Raw genomic sequence first — 22,083 nt, 5'->3', positions numbered from 1 at the left:
ACTCCGGCCTGGGCAACAGGGCAAGACTCCGTCTCAAAAAAAAAAAGTGTTCAGTATATTTCTATGCTGATGCACACTGAATTTTATTACTCCAAAAATCAAAGTACTAAGAGTCTTCAGACATTTATGAATAGAACTAAAATCAATACCATTCCTAAGTGAACAGTGCTTCATAGTGAGAAAACAACAATGAGAACTGCTGATACCAACTTCTTAGATACCTGTCTTTAGGCATCTAAGTACTCTCTTACTTATATAATTTTCATGTATACCTTTCAATATGCACATCTGTTTTTAAGTCTCTCACCTTCTTTAGGTTCTTGATTTTTTTGTCTATCTCAGGGTCCCCAGAAATTGACTGAGAGACAGTGTTTCGTGGTGTGCTCTGTGGGGCAGGAGTAGGTGCCAAATCTGGACTCTTGTCACTTCTTGCTTCCTGCAGGAAATATTTTTTTAAATTCAATTTTAAAAGCCAAAAACATTACAGTATTTAAATCAACATAGCTTTGGCATATGAAATACAGAAACTAAATATGTGATTTTATCTACATTTTATATAAAGAATCTGAATTAAAGGTCTCATGAAGTATGCTACATACTCCCATGTTAGAAATAAAATGACCTTATCAGAGTAAACCAGGAAGTTTCTGTACCAGCCAACAAGCATTCCAAACTTTTGCATATTCTGAGATGTGCCAGTAGATAGATGGTTTGAACATATGAGAGGGCTTTTCTATTTAAGGTGTTTAAAGTTTCACTCTTACAAGGCTCTCTCCAAAACTATAAAGAATATGTATGATCAAGTACCTGTAATGGATTATGCTACAAGAATAAGAATCCTACAGATATTAATTTATAATCAGATCAATTCAGCTCTGCAACAAAGTACCACAAAACTTTTTTCCCCTTAAAGGGATGCCATAATGCTTCCAATATGATCAGACCTCTGATAACTTTTCTTGTCCCTCCTCACTGATTCTGAATCACTTTTATTTCCGCTAAGGTGCTGTATACTCTTGCCCCTGGCCTTTGTGTACAGCAGTCTCCCTTAACCATGGTTTCAGTAACCAAGCGTCAACTGCAGCCCAAAAATATTACATGGAAAATCCCAGAAATAAACAATTCATAAGTTTTAAGCTGTGTGATGAAATCTCTCAGCATCCTGCCTAGAACGAGAATCATTCTTTTATCCAGTGTATCCACAGTGTATTCGCTCCCCACCTATTTTTCACTAGTAGCTGTGTTGGTTATCAGATCGACTGTCACAGTATCAACAGTAGTTGTGTTTAAGTAACCCTTATTTTACTTAATAATGGTCCCAAAGTGCAGAGTAGTGATGCTGGCAATTCGGATATGCCAAAGAGAAGCCGTAAAGTGCTCCCTTTAAGTGAAAAGGTGAAAGTTCTTAATAAGGAATAAAAAATATTGTATGCTGATTTGCTATGATTTACAGTAAGATTAAACCTATCCATGAACTTGGGAAGAAGAAAAAAGAGATTAGTGCTAGTTTTGCAGTTGCGCCTTGAACTGCAAGTTATAGCCGTGGTCATTCAACTTACCACACAAGCATTGTACCATCTCACATTGTCGCAAAAAGGGTGAATACAACACCATTAGATATTTTGAGAGACCATATTCACATATCTTTTATTACAGTATATTATTATAATTGCTCTATTTTCTTATGAGTTACTGTTAATCTCTTACTGTGTATCACAGTCTCTATAGGGTTCGGTACTATCTGTGGTTTCAGGCATAGCTCTGCCCCTCCAGGATAAAGGGAGACTACTATATATTGTTCCTTGTGCCTAGAACACCTTCCCCCACAAGTCACCTGGCTGAACCCTACTTATCCTTTAAGTCTTCTGGAAAATCTCCCCACCTTAAGACTGGATAGTCGCACCTTTCCCAGGCTCTCATAATGCCCAGTATTTTTCCCTACGGTAACACCATATTCTACCATTCCCCATTAGAACTGAGCCTCTAGCATAATACTTGCTTCGTTGCACAGGCTAAATAAATAAAAAATAAAGGAATGACTCTTCCTTTATAATTATGACAAGATATATATTTTGGTAAGAGGGGAAAAAATTATGTAAGTATTTATTGGCTCCAACGTAGGGTTTCTACTTCTTATAGAATTTCCAGTGGAATATATATATAATGCTCCAGGTCTCCATAACCTTTTACTCAGAGTTCTGGGTAGGATACTCTGAACTTTTAAAGCATCCTCAGATCCTCAGGGAACATAGAATAGGGTATCACTTCTAGATATTCAACTCTAAAAGTCTGCCTAAGAGTTTTTAGAAAATACAGAATTGAAGTCAATTTTTCTCTTTTTTTTTTTTTTTGGAGACAGAGTCTAGGCTGGAGTGCAGTGGCACGATTCCAGCTCATTGCAACCTCCACCTCCCGGGTTCAAGCGATTTTCCTGCCTCAGCCTCCCAAGTAGATGGGATTACAGTTACAGGCACCTGCTACCACACCCAGCTAATTTTGTATTTTTAGTAGAGATGGGGTTTCACCATGTTAGACAGGCTGATCTCGAACTCCAGACCTCAGGTGATCCACCCACCTCGGCCTCCCAAAGTGCTGGGATTACAGGTGTGAGCCACTGCATCCAGCCAATTTTTCTTTTTAAAGTCATGTTGGTTTCACTTTTTGGTACTATTTAATAAACAATTATTTACCTTCTACATGAAAACAAATTACTGGGCACTTTGAGAATTCGAAAGAAAATATTAAGTTTCTCCTCTTAAGGAGCCTGTAAGTTCTGGTAATAGGCAGTTTTATATTTTTCACAATATAAAATTAAAGTAGAAGAGTAAATAAAAGAAGAGGGGATATTCTGCCTATCAAAATTCACTTTTGATATCAGATTTTAAAAATATAAAATTTTAGTTGTTTGTAATGAGCTAAGAATATAGCTCTCTAGGAAGAAAGGTTAATCTTATCATGTGAAAAACCATTAAAATTAAGTGATATATAAAATTTATTTTTCCCCACAAACTAACCAAGAACAAGTTGAAATGTCTGCATTATTATACTTAAATTCTAGCCATTCTCTAGAAAGGACGTATATATGGTAAGATTAAATTCTTATGTTTCAACTCTTTTTTGGTAAAGTCAACAAACTTATAAAATTATCACCAGTTTACAAAAATACTAGTTAGATTACATATATCTGACTGCTCTATCTTTGACTATTTACTTCAGAGTCAGGACTAAGAAGGTCTGGATAAGGTGAGATTCTGTCAAGGGCCATTTAGCTTTGTTCCATCACACAGCCACAACTTTTACTAACTTCAGCCAGTCGTCCCCAAAATACATACTGAATAGTTTATCTTGCAAGTTGAAAACCTTTGCTATTACTGGAAAAACAACTCAAAAAGCAATTCCACAATGAGGGATTACTGGTATCACCTTTGGTATCATCTTTAGTAAAAAACGTGTGTAGGTGCTTGATGACTGTATTGGCTCTTTTAAAAAAAACTGACAGGTATAAACATATAACTGAGAGTTGTAAATTTATAACTGATCAGCCCAGCTGATCACACTATTACCATGAGCTATAAAGAGTTACACATTTATAACAGAGTTACAAATAACTATTATTTATAATAATAATTTCATTATATTAATTAAATGTGAAATTATCACATAATTTATATTATAAAATGTATAAACTAATAGAATTTGTATATTATTTATATAATTAATACAATTATAATTTAGTATATTAATTAATGGTTATAATTATTAATAATTATAATCATATGTAATTATGTAAGTAATTATTTATATAATAAGTATAAAGGAATCTTAGTCCAGTATCACCAATGGTCATATTAAAAATATCTTTTGATAAAGTGGAAGAAACTTTGCTTATAAAAATAGAATTCTAAGTTGAGTGCGTTTCAGAGAGGCCCTAAAACTCAAAGGGCATCTTAGTTATCAAGTTGTTAAGGATACTACTAATGAGTTGTAATATCCAGGGCCAGTAGAGGTCCCTACTTGTACTGATGAAGGGACAAGACTTGCTTTTATACAAATCTAATATCAAATGCATGGAATAGATCATTTTTACTTGGAATAACCTAAAGCTGACCAATTAAGATACTTCTGGGGATGAAACATATTAACTACAAATGAACAGAATGGTTTTTCTAAAAGTCCAGATTTTAGCAGAATATGGTTGCATAATACAATTCTATACCTTAAAATAGTAACTGCCTCCCAAAACACATAACCAGCCTAGACCTGTCAAAATTCAAGAATTATCAGCAAGACTATACTGATATAGCAACCAGCTGTTAAAAATCTGCCCTTTCTAGGATGGGCACAGTGGCTCACGCCTGTAATCCAAGCACTTTGGGAGGCTGAGGTGGAAAGACTGCTTGAGCTCAGGAGTTTGCGACTAGCCTGGGCAACATGGCAAAACTCGGTCTCAAAAAAAAAAACCAAGCCAAAACCAAACCAAAAAAACCTACTCCCATTTCCTGCTTGAAAAACATAGCGATAACCTATCTTTACAAAAATAAAAAAATTAGTTGGGAATGGTGGTGTACATGTACAGTCCTAGTTACTTGGGAAGCTGAGGCAGGATTAGTTGAGCTCAGGGTCTGGGGTTGCAGTGAGCCGTGATCATGCCTCTGCACTCCAGCCTAGATAACAGAGTGAGACAGAGTGTCTCAAAAGAAACAAAAACAAAACATCCAAAAACCCTACCCCACTGCTACAGTCTGACATATTGGTGTTTCCCTCAAATTCATAGTTTGGGACCTAATACCCAATGTAATAGTATTAAAAGGTGGGGCATTTGGAAAATGATTAAGTCATGAGGATTCCACACTCAAGAATGAGATTAGTAGCTTTATAAAAGAGACCAAAGAGAGCTCCACTGCCCCTTCCACCATGGGAGGACACACAGAAAGAAGGTGCCATCTATGATGAACGGGTTCTCACCAGATACCAAATCTGCCAGCGCCCCAGCTTCTAGAACTGTGAGCAATAAATTTGTTTATGAATTACCTAGTATAAGGTAGCAGCCTGAATGGATTGAGACATGTACTCTACCTGAATTGCAAAAATGTGATCACCATAACTTCACTAACCAGACATCCCCAGCCCAGCCAATCACATTATCACCATGAGCTATACAATATCACAATTTGTCAATTATTTACACTGGTGTGGCTTTTCAACTACGTAATCAAGTAAGAAACTATTTTGGAAATATCCCATTATTTGGGTACTTCTGGTATTTCGATTCCCAGTTAAATAATTTCATATAGTACTATAATACTGAGTGCCCAAATGGCTTTCTAGTCATGTAATTTCCAGCTTCTCTTAGTAAATACATGCTTCAAGGAAAGCAAACTACACCACTTCACACAAGTGCCACCAAAAGGGTCTACAGCAAGTAACATGCTTACATAATACCATTAGTGTCTCAGGTTATGATGTCAAGTCCAGTTTCTTTTGTCACCCATCATATAGACAGGATTACTTAGAAATTCATAGGCAAAGACAAAAGAAAGATATTCTGCCTATTTAAGTCTAACTCCAACTACATTTTATAACGTAAGAGCCAAGGTTTTTTGTGCTTTTTTTCTTTTTTTTTCGAGTCATGGTCTTGCTCTGTTACTCAGGCTGAAGTGGTACAATCACAGCTCACTGCAGCCTCAACCTCCCAAGCTCAAGTGATCCTACCATCTCAGCTTCCCAAGCAGCTGGGACTACGGGGTACACGCCATTGTGCCCAGCAAAAAATTTTTCATAGAGATGGGGGTCTCACTATGTTGCCCAGGCTGGTCTCGAACTGGGCTCAAGCAATTCTCCCACGTTGGCCTCCCAAAGTGCTGGGTTACAGGCATGAGCCACCACACCTGGTCACAGTCAAGTATTTAGGACCACAATTCTTTAAACTTTAAGGCTTAAAGCTAACTTAACTGCCTTTTTTTTTGGAGATGGAGTCTCTCTCTGTCGCACAGGCTGGAAGGCTAGAGTGCAGTGATGCGATCATGGCTCACTGCAACCTCCACCTCCCAGGTTCAAGTAATTCTCCTGCCTCAGCCTCCTGAGTAGCTGAGATTATAAGCCATGGCCAACTAATTTTTGAATTTTTAGTAGAGACAGGGTTTCACCACGTTGGCCAGTCTGGTCTTGAACTTCTAACCTCAAGTGATCCACTCGCCTCAGCCTCCCAAAGTGCTGGGATTACGGGCGTGAGCCACTGCGCCCGGCCATAACTGACTATTTGTTTTGTTATGAGATTAGTGCCCCAAATACCTGCTTTGCAGCTTTCTTAGCTTCATGCTTCCTTTGATTTTTAAGAGCTGTTTTTGATAATGGCTTATCGTTTCCTGATTGTGGTTTCATATTCTGAGGTGGTTCCTCTTCATGCTATGGAAAATGTAAAATAATTTTGAAATGGAGTCCATGTTGTAAACACCTACAACAACAAATTATACACTTCTGCTAATATAGGATAAACTTATTTTATCAAATTTAAGATCATTAGCAAAGATTATTTTGAAACTCATTGGTAGTGGCACACTCCAACTGTCAGGATGGATTTAATTAGGGTCTTCCTATTAGTTCCTATATCTTTCAATCATATCAGAGCTGGCAAAATTCACTTTAGTTTTGTTCAAACAGAATTTTTCTTAGCACTACTACAGACACATGATTCTTATGAAAACTAGATACCAACAACAGCTTCTTCTGAGGCCTTTTTGGTTCTAACTATTGTCAACAGAAACCCAGTTGCCTCGCTTGTTTTCTTCACACAAAGAATTACTTGCTAGATCTTTACTTGTAAAATCAGAAATTAGAAGATTAAAAATAAAAGCAAATGAAAAAACAAGAATAGATTATAAGAAAATAAATGAAATAGAAAGGAGTAATTAACTAGATAATTACAAATCTGGGATTGACATATGAAGAGACCAAAAAAAAATTACATGGCTTGTCAGATTACACAATGAAGACAATCATTTCCAACATCAGATATTCATGTAACCATGTAACAACTATATTCCACAATAGAAAAGATGGTGAATTATAGATTCAATGTATCTCCAGAACAGTTTTAGACAACATACAGTATAAGTGATGGCACTACAACTCTCTATCAGATTCAGGTACTTACTGATTTCTATCTATATTGCTATTATTTTAATGTTAACTGTCTCTTAGACTGTACCATAACTCAGCACATCAAAAGTACCAGCTCTCCATGAAGTTTCTTGAGTACTAGGTCTCAGATCCGCATTTTACTTATAAGTTCTATATGGAAATGAGCAGAGCTCAAACACTTAAGATGCAGAGTAATAAATAAGAAACCATAAAGTGACCTTATCTTAGCAAATGCATTAACTATTTCAGGTCATCAAAGTTCTGGGTATGTTCATATTCTACTTGAAACAAACTGAATATTATGAGAACCCACATTTGTAGAACAGCAGACAAATTTGGAGTGCAAGGCTCTTTCATTTCATTTTTATCCATGTTGCATAAAATGCTACTTAAGTTATACAATATTTGCTGAACATTTGTTTTATACATAATATGAAAATTCTTTCAATAGTGGGCTCTTCTGTAGTAGTTTACTTTGGCCGAAAAGTTTCTGCTCAGAACTTTGATGAAAAATGATACAAGAAGAAAAGATAAGTTACAAGTCTCTTCCACGCTTATGAGCATCATGTAGCCACTGAGAGCCTTTCACTTGAGACGAAAAAAATCCACACAACTACTATAAATCATGAGTTTTTTCTGGTTTTGGTACTATGTGCTCATTACGCATAATTTCATTCTCATTAATAAACTTTGTTTATTCAGTTATATCAATTATTATGGGACTGTTTTTGATGAACACATTTTAATTTCTCAGCTCACTGCAACCTCCTCCTTCTGGGCTCAAGTGAATTTCCCACCTCAACACTCCCGAGTTGCTGGGATCACAGGCAGACACCACCATGCCCAACTATTTGTTTTGCATTTTTAGTAGTGATGGGGTCTCACCATGTTGCCCTGGCTGGTCTCAAACTCCTGAGCTCAGGCGATCCACCCGCCTCGGTCTCCCAAAGTGCTGAGATTACAGATCGAAACCCCCACACCGGACCAACGAACGCATTTTAAAAGGTGAAGGTTTTTTTGGAAAGCTAATAAATATTCTTTAAGTATAATTTATATATAAATTTTTACTTATAAAAAACTTTTTTCTGTGAGGGACGAACCCCAACACCTTTTTTCCCCTACTGCTGTGTAACTCTCCTCCTTTGTGAAGTTATCTACTACACTGTCTTTGTTTCTAGTAATTTCTTGACAGTATTTTCTTTGTAATTTAGCTCATTTCTGGAATTAGATACACGTAAACATTTCTAATTACTGGGCATATAGCTACTTCAACTAAAATGATTTGACAGGACCACACAATCATCACGCCACATAAAAAAGCAACAATTTAGTAGAAATCTTAAATGTTAACAAAAAAATCCTGGCCGGGTACAGTGGCTCATGCCTGTAATTCCAGCACTTTGGGAGGCCAAGGCGGGTGGATCACCTAAGGTCGGGAGTTCCAGACCAGCCTGGCCAACAGGGCAAAACCCCATCTCTACTAAAAATAAAAAAATTAGCTGGACGTGGTGGCAGGCACTGTAATCCCAGCTACTCAAAAGGCTGAGGCAGGAGAATTGCTTGAACCCGGGAGGTGGAGGTTGCAGTGAGCAGAGATCGCGCCACTGCACTCCAGCCTCGATGACAGAGTGAGACTCTGTCTCAAAAAAATCCTGATTTTAAGTTCTTACCTAATTTCATCACCATTTTCAAAGTATTATTTTCTGTATCAATTTCTCCCCCTCACCAAAATAAACCTACTACTTTTATGGATCAAAGAATTGTGCCATCATGCACAGATTCAGAAAGCAGGATGGGTTGGAGTTACTTTTGTTTTTATCTGAGGTAAGGAAAATTCCAATACAGAAATAGGAAAAATCTGAAGTCTACTATATACTTTCTTTTTAAATCTAAATAAATATGATAAATACAAATAAATATCATGTTATGTCTTTATATAATTTTACATAAATAAAACAATACTGGTTAAATAGAACATTTCGATGGAAATTAAGAAGTTTCAGACCAGTCATACGTTTTGTTTAGTCCAAGAGAAAGGTTGTTTTTTTTTTTTTTTTTGAGACGGAGTCTCACTCTGTTGCTCAGGCTGGAGTGCAGTGGTGCGATCTCGGCTCACTGCAACCTCCACCTCCCGGGTTCAAGTGAGTCTCCTGCCTCAGCTTCCCGAGTAGCCGGGACTACGGGCATGCGCCACCATGCCCAGCTAATTTTTGTTATTTTTAGTAGGGACGGGGTTTCAGCATGTTAGCCAGTCTGGTCTCAAACTCCTGACCTCAAGTGATCCTCCCGCCTCGGCCTCCCGAAGTGCTGGGATTACGGATGTGAACCACCACTCCTGGCCCAAAATAAACTTTTTTCTATAAAAGTAGTAAAACTTTACTTACCAATTTGGAATTGGTGATTGGTTTATTTCTTAAAGCTGGGGGTCTATAAGCTGTTGCAACTTTAGGTTCCTCATTGGGTACTTCACTTGGAACTGCTTGGTAAGTTATTGTTTTTGCTGGAAATATTCCATCCAAAAATGGCTGCCAAGAAACCTGCCATAATTCTGCATTTGATGGCACATCATACTTGTGCAAGATAGAGCCAGTATAATGCCAAATTTTGTATCCATTATTAACCCGTAACCTGGGAGCACATGTAGCTGTTAAAATATGCTCACCATCCGGGCACCAAGCAAAATATGTAGAATCAGAAGCCACCGGTTTAGAAATAAGTTTGTAGTTTTTCACATCCCACACTTCCATTTGTCCCCTCAGATTTCCAAATCCAGCTAATACTAATATATGTCCATGAGGGCTATAGTAGGCTGCATTACGAGGACCAGTTCCAAAGTCAAATACAGGATCACATTTCAAGTTGAAAATTGTCGCTTTGGCAGGCATAAAACCATATACAGCACAAAACTCAGTAGAACTAGAATTCCAAACTACATCATAAATGGGGCCATTTTTTGCTAGAAAAAGAATATAAAGCCCAAATTAGCAATAAAGAACTATATAAATATTTGTTAGCAAAAGTTACCATCATATAGTACTCACAAACACATCAAACAGATAAAAAAATTTCAAGGAATGTTAACATTAAAATACTCTTACATTATATACTAGGGGGATTAATGTATAATCATAAATTTATTTAAGAACCCCTATTGAATCTTAATTTCTTTTAAACATTTTGGTAATATGGCCTTATAGTAATAGTTTGTTACTATTAATAAATTTGTTTTTGGAAGGGGTAATACGTGCAGATGGTAATCAAAATACAAACTAATTTATTTATTTATTTGTTTATTTATTTATTTATAGAAATGGGATCTTACTTTGTGGCCCAGGCTGGAGTGCAGTGGCATGATCACAGCTTACTGCTGCCTCGACTTCCTGGGCTAAAGGGATCCTCCTGCCTTGGCATTCCAAAGTGCTAGGATTATAGGCATGAGCCACTGGGCCCTATATTTTTAAAAATGCCACATAAGACCAGGTGCGATGGCTCACGCCTGTAATCCCAGGACTTTGGGAGGCCAAGGTGGGCAGATCACCTGAGGTCAGGAGTTTGAGACCAGCCTGGCCAACATGATGAAACCCCACCTCTACTAAAACTAGAAAAATTAGTTGGGCACAGTGGCATGCACCTGTAATCCCAGCTACTCAGGAGGCTGAGGCAGGAGAAGCGCTTGAACCTGGGAGGCAGAGGTTGCAGTGAGCCAAGATCGTGCCACTGCACTCCAGCCTCGGTGACAAAGCGAGACTCCATCTCAAAAAAAAAGCCACAAACACAGGTCATTTTACACAAAGGCAACCCTCTGTTATATTTCTTGGATATCCTTTCAGAATTTTTTTTTGTTTTTGAGATGGAGTTTCACTCTTGTTGCCCGGTCTGGAGTTTAGTGGCACGGTCTCGGCTCAATGCAACCTCTGCCTCCCAGGTTCAAACAAGTCTCCTGCCTCAGCCTCCTGAGTAGCTGGGATTACAGGCATGAGCCACCACGCCGGGCTAATTTTGTATTTTTAGTAGAGATGGGGTTTCGCCATGTTGGTCAGGCTGGTTTTGAACTCCTAACGTCAGGTGATCCACCTGCCTCAGCCTCCCAAAGTGCTGGGATTGATTACAGGCATGAGCCACCGTGCCCAGCCTCTGTCAGCAGTTTTTGATGATGCAGGCTTCCCCCTCACTATCCTTCAACTATACTGTGTAGTTTCATATTTTTATCTTCATCAGCCTACTAAGTGAAAATGTCTATCTTGTTTTCATTTGTATTTTTTAAATTATAAGTTAAGCATCTTTTACTGTAAGTAATTTTATTTCTTTTTCTATGGGCTGATTTTTTTTCTTCTTCTTTTTTTTTTTAAAGAGATGGTCTCATTTTGTCACCAAGACTGCAGTACAGCCGTAGGATCTTAGCTTGCTGCAGCCTCAAATTTCTCGGCTCATACAATCCTCCCACCTCAGCCTCCTAGATAGTTGGGATTATATGCATGAGCCACTGCACCGGCTCTGAGGACTAATTTTTACTATCCTATGCCTATTTTATTTTTCTCCAATTATTGGTCTTTTACTTGGCTTACTTGATATATTAAGAAAATTTGACCTTCCTCATACTTATCACTTGACTATTTAAAAAACATATTTTCCCCAACTTTTTGTTCATTTTGCTTAATTTATGGACTCTTTTCTTCTCTCATTGTAATAATCCATTATTCTTCTCTAGTCAAATTCATTATTTTTTCCCCTTAGTACTTCTATCTTGTTTAAAAAGTCTTTTTCTACTCTTAAGATTAGAAAAAAAATTCTCCCATATATTCTTCTAATTCCTCTGCAGTCTTATGTATAAGTTTTTGACCCAACCAGAATTTATTTTGTGAAGAAGATAATAACCTTTTGTTTCGAATGGCTAGCCAGTTATCCCAAACCACATATTAAATGATCAATATTTTCTCCTCCATTGATTCAAATGCTGACTTTATTATATATTAATGTCTACAAAAGTATGGATCTACTTCTGGACTCTGTTCTCTTCCACTGATTTATCAGTTTTACCAGTATATCCATATACCACAACCAAACTGTCTTAATTACAATTGGCTTACTTTTTTTTTTTTTGTGACAGAGTCTCACCCTGTCAGCGGGCTGGAGTGCGGTGGCACGATCTTGGCTCATTGCAACCTCCCACTCCTGGGTTCAAGCAATTCTCATGCCTCAGCCTCCCGAGTAGCTAGGATTACAGGCATGTACCACCACACCCAACTAATTTTTGTATTTTTAGTAAAGATGGGGTTTCACCATGTTAGCCAGGATGGTCTTGATCTCCTGACCTCATGATCTGCCCGCCTCAACCTCCCAAAGTGCTGGGTACATTTTAATATCTGGTAGTGTCAGAACTCCAGATAACTTCCCCTGCCCTGCTCTTCTTTTACACAAGTTTCCAAAATATTCTTGTGTGTTCATTTTTCAACACCAACCTTACAGCCAGTTTATTTAGTTAAAAAAAAAAAATCAGTTAGCATTTAAATTTAGTTTTAGACTGACAAGAGAGAAATGACATCTTTATAAAAATAATTCTTCTTAGTAAAGGTCATAGTTTGTCTCTCTGAAGAGTTTTAAAGTTTTCTTCTCATTGGCCCTATATATTTGTTCTTATTATTTTTGCTATATATGGAATCTTTCATTTTTTTAAAGTAGCTGTTATAGTGTGACTTCATCTACATGAGCAGAGATGATTTTGTTTTCTTTCAAAACTGTATATATTTTACTTCTGCTGATTATAGTGACTAGGTATTTCAGAATGTTATTAAAATAAAGTGAAAAGGGGAGCCATCCTTGTTTTTTCTCTGACTTCAATGGAAATAGTTTTTTTAAAACATAGATTACCCTACTTACACATGTTCAATTCAAAATGAGAAAATTAGGACGCTATCAGTATTTTAAAACTATTATTTTAAAGTTTTAGTTCATTAAAACAACAGATGAAGTGGTAACATTCTTGGATATTATTATTTTGAGACAGGGTCTCGCTCTTTCACCCAGGCTGAAGTACAGTGACATGATCATAGCTCACTGCAGCCTTGAACTTCTGGGCTCAAGTGATCCTCCTGCCTCAGTCTCCTGAGGAGCTGGGACTACAGGCATACGCCACCATGCCTGGCTAACTTTTTCTATTTTTTGTAGAGGTAGGGTCTCACTATGTTGATCAGGCTGGTCTTGAACTCCTGAGTTCAAATGATCCTCCCATCTCAGACTCCCAAAATGTGTTGGAATTACTGGCACGAGCCACCATGCCTGGCCTCTTGCATATTACTAACAATTCTAAAGACAGTATTAAGCAATTTGCCGTCATAATTAGCTAAGTAAGTTCCAAAAGAGCTACTACAATGGAATTACCTTACTCAGGAAGTTCACTTCTAAAACGATGGCGTAACTCAAATAACTAATTGTATTCTGCCAAAATAAGGTATGTTGGAGGATGATTTTTAAGTTTCTTAATTAAGAAAAATTTTATCTTAAAGGTTATTAAGGCATATGAATTCTATCTTTTGATCAAGAATTTAGATTATATCATCTTTATGGCATAGTATTTTTTACTATCATTGTTTCTAATCAAAGGAAGACTGCTGGAATACTCACGTAATTGCACTACAGCACTTTCTCCATTTGTTGCAATGTAGTGTAGAGTTTGTTCTCCATAGTAGGAAGCTCCTGTCTTGTCAACATCTGTGCTAGCTATTACCAACACAGCAGTAGCTATAACAGTAAAAACTTTAATTAGATTTAAAACACAAATGGGCATTGATTCTTCTGTTATACACATAGGAATATAGCCTAAATTAACAACTGATAAACAAAGGGAGGGATAAAATATACTTAACATACCTTTTTTATTCCACAGCATTGTAACTTTATCTGCCTTAAAGAAACTTTTATTAGCTAAAGCTGCATGAGGTCCAGCAAAGTTGGGGTACTGATATAATCTAACAAATGAAGGTGCACCTTTACTTCCTGGAACATAGACAGCCACCTAAGATACATAGACATAAATCATTACTTAATTTTTTGAAGAATAAAAACTGAGATGGACATGTTTTTACAATCACAAAAAACTAGGAAAAGGTTTAAACACATAATATTACACATAAACAAAAACAGCAATTACCTTGTATGGTTGGGGTCCAGGTGATAATACAAAATCATTAATTTTTTGCAAATGCAATTTATTTGCAATTGTGTCTAAAAAAAAGAGTAAATTAAATCAGATTGATGAGAGAACCTAAAAGGAACATGTTAAACTCTGAATACATTATCAAAGATCACTATAACTACACACCAATACTACTCACTGTAGTCTCCTCCTGGTGAGATACAGTAACACAGTGGAAAAAGCATGGGGTAGGAGCAAGACAAATGTAGGCTTCAATTTCTACTCAGTCATTTACTTGCAGTGTGAGCTTAGGCAAGTAATGGGATTATACCACCCAACTCTCAGTAATTGGTTTTAAGAGAAGAGTGCCAGGCACATGGTAGGTATTTGATAAATGTCAGTTATCCTCTCTTCAATCGCTGAAATAAAGTGGTCTTAGAGCCTATTAGAAGGAAAAGATCAACCTTGGCCTGCTACTGCAGAATGTGGATATGGAAATTCTGTAACTTAATGTGATAAACAGATGCATGATAATGATGATCACAACCACAGTAACAATGGCTGATATTAAGAGCTTACTCTATTCCAGGCAGTCTGAGCCATGCTATTATTAATAAAACTGCCACTCTAGTTAATTAGATCAAGAGCTAATATACTTTCTTTGTTCAATTTCAGAGATCAATGGCTTTTCAAAAGCAGCACACCAAACTGTCAAAGTGGTGATCCCTCTTCATTTGACATGCTCACAAAGAGGAGAATAAGACAAGAAAGCAAGCTAACCCAGAAACAGTGAGGTGACAGTGCGCCTCAAACACAGGAAAATAAAATGCATAACTATACTGATTGGATGCTGCTCAAAATCAGCCTACATGCCATCTTTGGTACGTGTGAACAAAGTTACCAATTCCTATTCTAACTATGATATACTCAAAACTGTACAATCAGTAATGGGATGCTCTAAAGACAAAAGAACTGCAAACCCTTTTTAAAAAATTATTTTCAGTAACAGTGTTACTTTTTGGTATTAAGATTGTAAGAATACCTTGTGGATAATGTGGAACAAACCAAATGAATACTTATGTGAATGTGATATTCTCAAATTATCATCCCTGGTATTCCAGAGTAACAAGATTCTTGGTGGTGACAGAAGGCAATACAAATAAGATAGAAGTTAAATAAAAACCTTGTAGTCTTCAATTTAAATAAAACTATACGTATAAAACTTTAATTTAAATAAAATTATGATTGTTACATCTTTTAAATAGAAAAAAAAGGCCTAGAAACAATGATCAATGCAACAGCAAATAAGAATCTCTAGAACCTAAATACCTTTTTTTTTGCTAGACTCAGCCAATTTTTCAAGAAACCCTATTACCTTTTAATGTTTCCTTCAATGAGATCAAGAGCTAATACTTTTTCTTTGTTCAATTTCAGAGATCAATAGCTATTCAAAAGTAGCACACCAAAAAGGCGACAGGGTTTCCTGAAAAATTAGCCAGTTCTAGGTGTAATGGTTAGAAATGTACAAATTAATCCTAGAATGACTTGTCTTACCATATAGCAAAGAAGTCACTAAGGATTAATTGATCAAAGATGAGACAATTTGAGCATCAATAAGAAAAATAACTACAATGGACTGAAACACATACCTTTTAAATCCACAGCTCATTAAGAATGGGACTAAAAAGGCCAGGCGTGGTGGCTCACGCCTGTAATGCCAGCACTTTGGGAGGGTGAGGCAGGTGGATCACCTGAGGTCGGGAGCTCGAGACCAGCCTGACCAACATGGCGAAACCCCATCTCTACTAAAAATACAAAATTGGCCGGGCATGTTGGCACATGCCTGTAATCTCAGCTACTCAGGAGGCTGAGGCAGGAGAATCGCTTGAACCTGGGAGGCAGAGGTTGCGGTAAGCCGAGATCGCACCATTGCACTCCAGCCCGGGCAACAACAGCGAAACTCCATCTCAAAAAAAAAAAAAAAAAAAAAAAAGAATGGAACTAAAAAACAGCCTGGGCAACATAATGAGATCCTGTCTCTACAAATAATCAAAAATTAGCCGGGCATGGTGGTGCAAGCCTGTAGTCCCAGCTACTTGGGAGGCTGAGGCAGGAGAATTGCTTGAGCCCAGGAAGTCGAGATTGCAGTGAGCCATGATTGCACTCAGCTTGGACAAAAGAATGAGGCCCACTCTCGAAAAACAAGAATGGGGAAAAAGCTAATTGGTTACAATGAAGGTTGCTAGAGGTGGAATACATTATATTAAAACTGATAAGAGCAAGAATATTTATCCCGCCTTTTCTATATAAATGCAGCACTAGGTAACCAAATAGTAGAAGGGGAAATTTTTCTTTATAGAAGCAGTACAGCTGAAAAATAAGTGAGGGAGAAAAAACCAGAGTATCAACAATTTGCAACCACTGATGAAATAATGCATCCAGGCATGAAACATTAATGTCAGCTAAGCCTACAAAATTAAAGACAACCAGACATTATGTGCTTCTTGATAAAAGAAGTGAACATCACCTTATAATGTAGTCTTACCCTTACTCACCTAAAAAAGAACCTGAAGCTGAAACTCTAGAGCCAACTTGCAATTTATAGGGGACAGATGAACATGTTAAATTATACCATGGGATACAAAAGCAAAATTCAAACTATGGGAAAACGTGAAAGACAAATAACCTTGTTTCTTAAACAATAAATTATGAAGAATAAAATAACAGATAGAGTGGGAACTTATAGGACCAAAAGAAACATAAAAGATATATCAATCAACCACAATGTGCAGTACCTTATTTGGATCCCGAGTTTTAAAAAAAATTGTAACATTTGCAATTAGTAGAAATTTGAACACATATTTAATAATTTGTGATAATGGTTTTGTGGCTAAGTTTAAAAAATGAAAGGCCCCAATCTTCAGAAATCTACTCTGAAATATTTACAATTACATATTTAACAAGTATATAAAAGTATAACCATATCTGGGATTTGCTTTCACTTAGTAAGAGATGGTAGCTGGAGAGATGTATGGATGAGATAAGATTGGCCACAAGCTGATGGTTACTAGAACTAGGTGTCTGAAGTTTAAAATTCTACACGATAAAATATCTAAAAAATTTGTGTCACAGAATTTCAATAGCAATTAAATTCAGGAAAAGATATTCAAATGTCTTAATAGCAATTACCAGATAATAAAAAGTTATTGTAAAAGAAAACCTTTGTGTTACAGATTTTCACTGAATTCAGACTTATAAAGAATTATGCAAATGTATGTAAGAGTAATTATTGATTAATAGATTAACAGTATTTAGGAAAACCCTATGATGTCATAAAAGTTAATGGAAACTGTATACGATTACAGTAAGTAATAAAATTATGTCATAAATCTTTCCATACTAAAATTGTTGTTTTCAAAGAAGTGAACTTCATTGTTAACATTGCGGGCACAAAGAGTTTCATCTTCTGACCAGGATGGACACCTATGTCAATGAAAAAAAAAAAAAGTATAAAAAATATTCAGACAGAATGTAACATCACATTAACATGTTAAAGTAATTTATGATATTGGTTACCATTTAAGGAAAAACACTTATAAACACTTATAAATATGATATTAAGTCAGTTACTAATAGTTTTAGTCAATATATGTTAATAGAAAAGGCCAGGTGCGGTGGCTCACACCTGCAATCCCAGCACTTTGGGAGGCCAAGGCAGGTGGATCACCTGAGGTCAGGAGTTCAAGACCAGCCTGGCCAACATGGTGAAACCCCATCTCTACTAAAAATACAAAAATTAGCCAGGCATGGTGGCACGTGCCTGTAGTCCCAGCTACTTGGGAGGCTGAGGCAGGTGAAATTGCTTGAACCTAGAAGGCAGAGGTTGCCGTGAGCCAAGATCAGGCCATTGCACTCCAGCCTGGGTGACAGAGCGAGACTCCCTCTCAAACAAACAAAAAAAAGAAAACATTGTTCCTTTCCACTTAATACTAAAGGAAAGAAGGATCAAGTTTTTGCTCTATTACATTCCTACATACAAAATCCTTAAAAATGTAGATTTTTGTCTGATAAGTTATTTTTTAAATCAATATCAGGAAAACAAATATTATACAGTGATGACATTAAAAATACTATGTAAAAAATTAGTATTTTAAGCCATTTATTTACCAATTTTGCATTTTTTTCTGGATGAAAGATTTCAAACATGTCCCAGTTTTCACATCATAAAGTTGTAGGTTGGGTATCCCAGCTGTGCCATCTTTAGAAGCTGCAATAAAATTTCTTTTTTTCAGTAATTGCCTTGTAACATTTGTAAAGGGATTATTTTTCTTATTTATTAAGTTTGATATGGATTACTATCAAATGGGTTAAATCATGAAAGCTTGCCTCTGTGTTACCAAAATAAATAAATAAATAAATGAAAGGTTACATAACCCACTCATGATTCTCAACTGATTCTCAGTATCTCTTTCATTTACTTGGAAAAATTAGATTCATGAGAGTTCATACCTCTTGAAAGAACAAAAACTCAGGAGGTTTGTAAGCCAATAATGACCTATTATCATTTACTTATTCAAAAATATCAACATTATTAGAAAATGTTTCTTAAAATAAGCCCCTATAACTATTTTATTACATGAAACACAGTTATATGAAATGTTCATATAATGTATTATCATTAAGTATCTCTTTAAATATTTTGGAAAATGGCACAACATTTTCGACTCTACCATACACATCCCTTAGATGTTTTGTCTACTGTACTTCCTTTCACATAATAATTATTTAAAAGTCTTGATTTTAAAAGTCATTATTATTCTTAATCTTCAGAAATCTCTATCCAGCAGTTATTTACTTCCTGAATTTTCCCTTGAGCTTTTTCTTTTCCTTTAGCTCATAATGGCTCTTTACATTAACTTACCATATACCTTGAAATTACTTTCAATACATTGTTTATTTGGAGAGTACAAGATTCACTGTAGATCATAAATATTCACAAACACTATTTACTATCATAAAGACTAATTACTTTCTTATGAGGTTATAAACTTTATAACTTTTTCCCCCCCACTAAACGTAATTGATCGTGTCAGAGTATTTTTACACTGAGAAAATACTTACTAGTGTAAGGCTGCCACGTTGCCAGGACAGTATTTTTGGGTGAGAATTCAAGGCAAACTGCCTTCAGGAGGTCGAAGGAGTGCAGTAGTCCCTTGTTAGTGACACTGATAATATTTACTCTGGTTTCAAAAGAAATTATTTCAGCAATGAAATACTGTTTTATAGTAGTCAACACTAACCAAAACATTCATACCTCTTTTCAAATACAGATCACTCCAAAATGTTGACTTTTTTTTTTTTTGAGATGGAGTCTCGCTGTCTCCCAGGTTGGAGTGCAGTGGCGCAATCTCGGCTCACTGCAAGCTCCACCTCCCCGGTTCATGCCATTCTCCTGCCTCAGCCTCCCAAGTAGCTGGGACTACAGGTGCCCGCCACCACGCCCGGCTAATTTTTTGTATTTTTAGTAGAGATGGGGTTTCACCGTGTTAGCCAGGATGGTCTTGATCTCCTGACCTCGTGATCCGCCCGCCTTGGCCTCCCAAAGTGCTGGGATTACAGGCGTGAGCCACCATGCCCAGCCCAAAATGTTCATTTTTCATAAAAATCAACTTTAAGTTGGTTCTAGAAAATATGCGGGAAATACCTTAACTTCAAAAAAAAAGGGCCAGGTGCAGTCGCTCACACCTGTAATCCCAGCACTTTGGGAGGTCGAGGTGGGTGGATCACCTGAGGTCGGGAGTTCGAGACCAGCCTGGCCAACATGGAGAACCTCTGTCTCTACTAACACTACAAAAATTAGCCGGGCGTGGCAGTGGGCACCTGTAATCCCAGCTACTCGGGAGGCAGAGGCTGCAGTGGGCTGAGATCGTGCCACTGCACTCCAGGCTGGGTGACAGAGTGAGACTCCATCTCAAAAAAAAAAAAATGTATATTTTACCAAAAGGCTCCTATATAAGGCTAGTGCTGGGAAATGATATAAAATAGAAGACACATGGATGATTCCACCTTCAGCTGAAAAGGAAAAAAATGCCTTTAAGTGAACACAAAACTAATCTATAGAGAAGCTGAGGTCTATCAAACCAAAGGAAAGGCAGAGGTGCTAGAGAAAATGGCAAAAGTATACTTTTGTTTTATTTTTTATTTGAGATGGAGTCTCACTCTGTCACCCAGGCTGGAGTGTAGTGGCACAGTCTTGGCTCACAGCAACCTCCACCTCCTGGGTTTAAGTGATTCTCCTGCCTAAGCCTCCCGAGTAGCTGGGACTACAGGCGCATGCCACCACGCCTGGCTAATTTTTGTATTTTTGGTAGAGACGGGGTTTCACCATGTTGGCCAGGCTGGCCTTGAACTCCTGACCTCAGGTGATCCACCCACCCTGGCCTTCCAAAGTGCTGGGATTACAGGTATGAGCCACCGTGTCCGGCCCGCAAAAGTATACTTTTAAATTTGAATAAATGGGCCAGGTGCAGTGGCTCACACCTGTAATCCCAGCATGTTGGGAGGCTGAGGTGGGAGGACTGCTTGAGCCCAGGAGTTCAAAACCAGCCCGGGCAACATAGCAAGATCCCATCTCAATTAAAAAAAAAATTTTTTTTAAATAAATAGAAGCTATAGCAGCTAGGGAAATCAGTAAGGAGACATTTGATGTCTACTACAATCTCAAGAGCAATCTCTAAAAGATATGATTCTAAGAATTATTATGGTACAATGACAAAAATGACAATAATTGTATGATAAAAGCAGTTCCATTTTGGGATGTTTTCTATGTACCTAACCACTTTATGTACATTTTCTCATTTAATCCTTACAACAATCTTACAAATGTCATCATTTCTGTTTTACAAGTGCTGAAATTTAGGCTTAGAAAAATAAAATGATTTGACGATTTGCTCAAGATCATACTATTGATAAATGCCACAGCCAAGCTTTGAAATCAGTTTGGCCTGACTTACTGTTATGTACTAAACACTCTGGGGTGTTTAACAAAAAAAAAAAAAAAAAAAAGACTCTCCATCTTATTCCAGAAGTTGCTGTAAGTAACTTTGTTCTACTCAGGTTTGAGGAAGATAACTGAGGTTAAGATAAGCAGTCACTGAAAAGAATGAAAAATTACCACATAGTATTTAAACACACACACCTAACATGGAAATCTTTACAACTTGCTGCAAATAACCTATTTTAGAATTACAAGACGCTTTCTTGTTTTCTTCTTGTTGCTGTTGTTAACCTTTATTTTTTTCTTTGCTTTGCAACTGGAGCCTACTCAGAATTGATGGTCTTTAAGAGTTATTCTTAGTTTAATGAAGGATGTTTATTTTAATTAAGAAAAAACATATTTAAGGAAGAATCAGTAACGGTTTCTGACTTAGTTAACCAGAAACTGAACAAAGACCACAATCAATACATGAAATCTAGTTCTCTTGCCCCAGAACAATAAGTACCATTGTGGTCACAGCACTTTAATGAAATAAATGCTAGAACTTAATATAGAAGATATCTATTAAAATCATGGACATGACATATGGGGACATACTAAAAAGATTCAGAGTTGAATCCCATAGAAGGTTAAGTGTGGATATGAGTGAACTATTAACAATAACTGCCAAGGTAAAAACAGACTTATTCAACAAACTCTAAGCTAGAAGAACAAGGAATACTTCAAAAACAAACAAACAAAAAAAGACAATGAAAAGAAGTATAGTATAGCCCATTAGGTAGTAAATTTCTATTGATTCATTACTCAAATACTA

At 36.8% G+C, this 22,083-nt stretch overlaps 1 protein-coding gene and 1 long non-coding RNA gene across 9 annotated transcripts in view; one reads left to right on the top strand and one right to left on the bottom strand.

The window, feature by feature from the left end:
- LOC124900547 (uncharacterized) overlaps positions 1–17,677 on the top strand; it is a 38,807-nt gene extending 21,130 nt beyond the window's left edge. Inside the window, exon 2 of the long non-coding RNA XR_007096128.1 lies at positions 14,948–17,677. This is a non-coding gene — a long non-coding RNA (uncharacterized LOC124900547). The remainder of the gene's footprint in view (positions 1–14,947) is intronic.
- EIF2A (eukaryotic translation initiation factor 2A) overlaps positions 1–22,083 on the bottom strand; it is a 39,230-nt gene that overhangs the window by 3,963 nt on the left and 13,184 nt on the right. For 2 of the 8 annotated variants that reach the window (NM_032025.5, NM_001319043.2), the window contains 9 exons: positions 19,394–19,512; positions 18,440–18,539; positions 17,673–17,755; positions 14,288–14,361; positions 14,008–14,152; positions 13,762–13,878; positions 9,525–10,096; positions 6,292–6,405; positions 308–436 (listed from right to left, as the gene is read on the bottom strand). In NM_032025.5, the coding sequence (NP_114414.2) occupies positions 308–436; positions 6,292–6,405; positions 9,525–10,096; positions 13,762–13,878; positions 14,008–14,152; positions 14,288–14,361; positions 17,673–17,755; positions 18,440–18,539; positions 19,394–19,512 (1,453 nt within the window). Of the gene's footprint in view, positions 1–307; positions 437–6,291; positions 6,406–9,524; positions 10,097–13,761; positions 13,879–14,007; positions 14,153–14,287; positions 14,362–16,827; positions 16,912–17,672; positions 17,756–18,439; positions 18,540–19,393; positions 19,513–22,083 lie in introns of those variants that run through there. The other 6 variants (XM_011513224.3, XM_047449054.1, NM_001319046.2 and 3 more) reach the window with 5 other exon arrangements.

Source organism: Homo sapiens, chromosome 3 (genome assembly GCF_000001405.40).
Source record: "Homo sapiens chromosome 3, GRCh38.p14 Primary Assembly".
In the NCBI taxonomy this organism is placed as follows: Eukaryota; Metazoa; Chordata; class Mammalia; order Primates; family Hominidae; genus Homo; species Homo sapiens.
The sequence above is the reverse complement of the archived record's forward strand: the minus strand, read 5'-3'. Positions and strand labels throughout refer to the sequence as shown.